We start from the raw sequence: 5,473 nt of genomic DNA, 5'->3' as shown, positions 1-5,473 counted from the left end.
AGCTCCTCTTTATCACTTTTGAGTGTGTTTATTTTGACGGCTTTTTATTTATACTCTTTTTTTTTTCATTTGTACATCAGAAATATGGGCCCATCTGGAGACGGTGCACAACTTGATGCTTTTCAAGGCCCTTCCAATCAGGAGTAACTACAGCTGTCGGGGGAGCACTGAAAAAATGTCAATTAGCTATAAAAGTTCCACAAACAAGCATTATGTCTTCCTCTTATGAGTCCCCGGGTGCAGCTCAAAATTGAGCAATAATGTCCACAGTTAAAAATGGCTATTGGGGGCCCCAGCACTCTCTTTTCCCATTAATAATTGCTTTGCACCAGAGCTGGAGTCACCGCGTGTGGATGGTGGAGCCCAGGTCGCTGAGGGTATTTGCGTTAAAAATAGTGACAGCACACATCATATTTCTGAGTGAAGAAATGGCACTGCATCCCTCCATGTTCATACCAATGGCTGAACTCATCTCTCTGGGATCGGGACTTGAGCCACCTTGCGCTGTCCTCCTACCTCTGGGTTCCTCTTCTCCGGTTATCTGCACCCTGGCTGCCTGTCTCCTGTTCACGTCTAAAAATCGCCTCAGGGTTACTCTAGCCCTGGGGAGGAATTGGAGAGCAGTCTGCCTCCTCGTGTCACTCTTTGTGATTGTCCAGGACCTTTATTTGCACGTGGCCTTTATTTACAGACAAGCGCCCTGCCCTCCAAGTGAAAACGGCACAGAAAGCCTTTATTCTGCAAGTGAAACCAAGTACCTGGGGCCAGTGGAGGTGACTTGCCTTGGCATGTGAAATGTAATAAAGCCTTATTTACAAACACAGGCAGCTGGGCCAAGGGCTGTAGTTTTCCAATTTTTAAAATTTTATTTCTAGCTTTATTGAGGTATAATTGACAAATTAAAATGATATATATTCAAGGTGTATAATGTGATATTTTGATATACATATATACAGTGAAATGATTACCATTCTCAAGGACATTTAACATATCCTCCACCTCACAGTTACTGTTTTTTTATTTTTGTGGTGAGAATATTTAAGATCTACTCTCTTAGCAAGTTTTAAGTACACAATCTATTATCACTAATTATAGTCACCTTGCTGTATATTAGGCCTCCAGAACTTATTCATCTTATAACTGCAAGTTTGTTGGGGTTGTGGGAAATGGGGAGCTGTTGGTCAAAGGTTACAAATTTGCAATTCATTATTTTTAAAAATGTTGCTTTAAAATATTAATTATCATTATTATCGAGGTTTTTGTGCCCCTTAAATCTTGCCCCTGAGACTAGTGCCTCACCCCCCTCACCCTAGTCCTAATTCTACCTTCAGCCAGAAAGCACATGGGTGTGGGTCCTTCCCCGAGGTCTCAGCTGTGTGTTCCAAGAACTCTCACATTTAGCAGAGTTGGGTAAGAGAGTTTCGGCAGTGCCTTGTGTGGAGATGGCATCTGGAAAAAGCACACATACAGACCTTGGTTCCTATTCTTGTGCTGCAACCTTGTGACCTTCAGCAAGTCATCTAACTTCTTTGAGCCTTGGGCTTCCATCTACCAAGCTGACATCATAATATCGACCTCAGAGTGTGGCCGTGAGGATTAAATACAATAAATGATGTCAAGTGGCCTGCACTCGATTAATGACGCTGGACAAATGTTTATGGAGTGAATAATCAATGCACAAAATGTTGGTGTGAAGGTCAGGAGGACTTTTATCATCAGATGGCTTTCTGATCAGCTGGACCTCCTTTTTTTTTTTTTTTGTCTTCTTACTTTCTACATCAAGTCATGGTGATGTCTCTGTTTTGTGCTGGACCTGAGGGCATCTACACATAGGGAGCGTCTGGTATTTGTTGCATGAATGGAACGAGAGGTTTTTTCATTTTCTTTCTCTCTTTTTTTTTTTTTTTTTTTTTTTTTTTGAGATGAAATCTCCCTCTATTGCTGAGGCTGGAGTGCAGTGGTGTGATCTCGACTCACTGCAACCTCCGCCTCCCAAGTTCAAGCGATTCTCCTGCCTCAGCCTCCTGAGTAGCTGGGATTACAGGTGCCTACCATCACGCCTGGCTAATTTTTGTATTTTTAGTAGAGATGGGGCTCACCATGTTGGCCAAGCTGGTCTCGAACTCCTGACCTCAGGTGATCCACCTGCTTCTGCTTCCCAAAGTGCTGGGATTACAGGCATGAGCCACCATGCCCAGCCAAAGAGAGCTTATTAATAAGCAATGATATGAATGAATGTAGAACCAGGCAGTGTGGTCAAATCCCTGCTGTGTAGGTGACCCGAGCCATTTTACACTATTGGCTACAAGGTTCTTGTGAGGCTTAGATGCAGAAAAGGTAAGTTCAGGAGCCAAGAAAGCGACAGTGGCCCCAATGATTCTTAAGTAGAGTCACATGCAGAAATCATTGTCTGGGTCCTTCAATGGATCCTCGCTCCATTGAAGCAAAGCCTGGGTCCCTCGCTTTTCAGTGGGTTGGGAATTGGAAGCAGCAAGAAGAAAATTTGGAGCTTTTGCTATGTTTCCAGGGTTGGCCCATGGACATTGAGTCAATTCATAACTGATCAAAAGTCAGAAAGTTCTGGGTCGTGAGGGAAAGACCACGCTAGGGCTTTTCTGGGAAAAAGATGTGAAGAGGCAAGCTTATAAGATGAGCGATCATGTAATTTATCATTCGAACTGGGATAATTTTGAAAGTGAAAGAAGCTGCTGTTAACAATTACACTGGAATAAATGATGCCAATTCAGACTGTCCTGGGCAAAGCAAGGCATATATTTATCCTGCTTCTAAAGTAATCCTGCAAAGAGCCTCCTGCTCAGTGTTGGAAAGAACAATGCCATTTGTGGCACTGCCTGGTGGACAGCACTGGCTTCTTTTGCAAAGAGGGCAGCCTCATGCCTGCCCTCTGCAGCCGTTGCTATCTCTGGGTCTGCCGTTTCGTGATAAAGCAGTTGTATCTTCCTTTGCCTGCTTTGCCCTCTTTACAGCCAGTAGCCCAGTGTATCTAAGAGCTGTGTCACCATCCATTGCCACCAGCTGGCTCTGCTGTCACATCTGGGCTCTCATTTGAGTGATGTCTCACAGAAGCCTGAAAAATGGAATTACAAGCGGAGAGGCCAGCAAAGGCAGAATGCCAGAGGTGAGCAATGTGGGATGCTGAATTGTCTTTCAGATAAATGCCTGATGTTAGCACAGGAAAGAATTGCAGATAATCATTTATTCGAATATCTTGCCTAATATCCTCTCCCGCCACCTCAATTTACTGTTGAGGAGATAAAATCAAGAGAGTAATGTGCTCAAGTTTATTAGTTCCTTCAAATTTATGCCTCTAGCCCACACATTCTCCATGGATTTCAGACTCAAATATCCCACCATCTCCTCAATGTCTTGCTAGTAGAAATATCAAACTCAGCGTTTCCAAACATGGCCTTGTGATCTCTTCCAAAACCAGATCCACCTCTGTTCTTTTCACCTTGACCAATAGTAAGTCCTCTCTCTGTTCCTCAGGCCAAAAATCTTGGAGTTACCCTTGACTCTTCACAACTTCTCCTTCTTTCTCACAACACACCTAATCTGTTAGAAAAGACTATTCAGAATATATCCAGAGCCTGACTACTTTTCACCACCCCCATTGCTTCCCCTGGTGCAAGCCACCATCTTCTCTCACCTGGGTTGTCATTGTTGCCTCCTAACTGCTTCCACTCAAACCTTCCTACGAGTTCTTTTTATTTTTACTGAATTGAATAGTCTAATGGGTCCTTTTAAAGCCTATATTAGGTTGTGTCACTCCTCTGCTAAAATTCTTACTCTGTCCTACAAATTCCTACACAAACAGCACCCGACACCATTACCAGTTCTATTTTTATCTTGTAACAGGTGCTCCCTGTTCACATGGCTACAGCCACTGTGGCCTCTTTGCTGTTCTTCAAATAAATCAGGCATACCCCTACCCCAGGACCTTTGCACTGACTGTGTCTTGAGCCTAGGACACTTTTTCCCCAGATCCACTTGGCTAAATTCCTCTATGCCTACAAGTCTTTGCTCAAATGCAAGCTTCTATTAAAACTGCTGTTCCTCTTTCTCTTTTCCTGCTTTATTATTCTGTATAATATTTGTTATCTTCTCATATAACCTATAATATACCCTACAATTTATTTATTATTTTCTGTGTATCCTTTGACTCCTTTGAGTGGAAATTAGGATCTCTGAAGGCAAGAATTTGTGTGTTTTGTTTCCTGCGGTGACACCAGAGCAAGTACCTGGCACAAAGTAGGAATTTGATAAATAGTTGCTGAATGAATTAATTCAGCAGCTATTTACCCAATGTCTTCCATGTGTCAGGTGCACACTGGATGTATCAAGACAGTTACAGCAAAATCCTTCCTCTTAAAGTGAGCCTGAGTCAGTGGGATGGAGGCACAGACAACCCTAAGGCAGTGTACTCATGATGTACAACAGTGTTAAAGATAGCAGTCCCTGGCATTATTGTTCTACCACATGGGGGAGTGGAATGAAAGCAAGTGATGTTTGCCCAGAGGAAGCAATGCTGTTGCTGGATCTTGACAAGCTAGTGGAATTTTACCAGGCAGTACAGCAGGGTGACAGAGCTGTCCCTCATGTCCCAGTGGGTTTTCACTCTGCATACTGATTAAGAGAGCAGGCTTAATCCCAGGGAAAAAATGGATAAGGATTTCTTTTTGTGATAACTGTGCTGTCCAGGCAGCACTTCTTAACAGCAGAAGGATGGCCTGATAGCATCCCAAGACATTCAAGTCACCAAAGTGATCCAGTCTGCTCACCTGCTGGTGAAATCAAAAGCAGTTTTCCTCCAAAGCAACCTGGGCAGGTGACCTTATGGCGCTACAGCCACTGTACTGAGCGTCATACAGTGGAATCACACAATTCCAATTCCCCTGGACTCTCAGGAAGCCCTGATTTTAAAAAGGGCTTTTGGTTTGTGATTTCTTAGAATAATCTTGTTTAAGTCAAAGAGTTGTTTGCAGTGGAATTCAGCTGTTTTTGCTGAGTCCAATTGCCTCTGGGGAATAAAAGGATCACCAGACATTTGTAAACTACTTCTGTAACATAACTAAAAGAGAAAGAGCAGGCGTCGGGCAGGTGCTGCTTTCTGGCTTGGGGGCCTCTAGGACCACAGGATTGTTCTAAATTCCATTGTTGCCTGCCCAGGTAAGTCTGACCGTTCTAGTGGTAGTGAGAGTAAACTACTTAACTATTTATGTGTAACAAATTACCTCTATACTTAGCAGCCTAAAACAACAACAGTTTATCATATCCCATAATTCCTGGAGTTGTCTAGGTTGATCCTCTGACAGTTTTGTTTGGGCCCCACTCATGGGACTGCATCCAGCTGGAGAGTCAGCAAGGCTGCAAGGTCCAAGATGGCCTTCCTCAACCTATCTGCCAGTTGCCACTGGAATCACACAATTCCAATTCCCCTGGACTCTCAGGAAGC

At 43.5% G+C, this 5,473-nt stretch overlaps 1 annotated feature.

Moving 5' to 3' along the window:
* Nucleotides 4,452-4,746: an enhancer, noted in NCBI's record as "tiled region #11342; HepG2 Activating DNase matched - State 12:CtcfO". NCBI's record gives its function as "activates a minimal TATA promoter and a strong SV40 promoter by Sharpr-MPRA in HepG2 cells {active_cell/tissue: HepG2}" and the evidence as "EXISTENCE:reporter gene assay evidence [ECO:0000049][PMID:27701403]".

The sequence above is a fragment of the Homo sapiens genome, chromosome 20 (assembly GCF_000001405.40).
Source record: "Homo sapiens chromosome 20, GRCh38.p14 Primary Assembly".
In the NCBI taxonomy this organism is placed as follows: Eukaryota; Metazoa; Chordata; class Mammalia; order Primates; family Hominidae; genus Homo; species Homo sapiens.
This window is presented reverse-complemented; position numbering and strand designations above follow the sequence as displayed.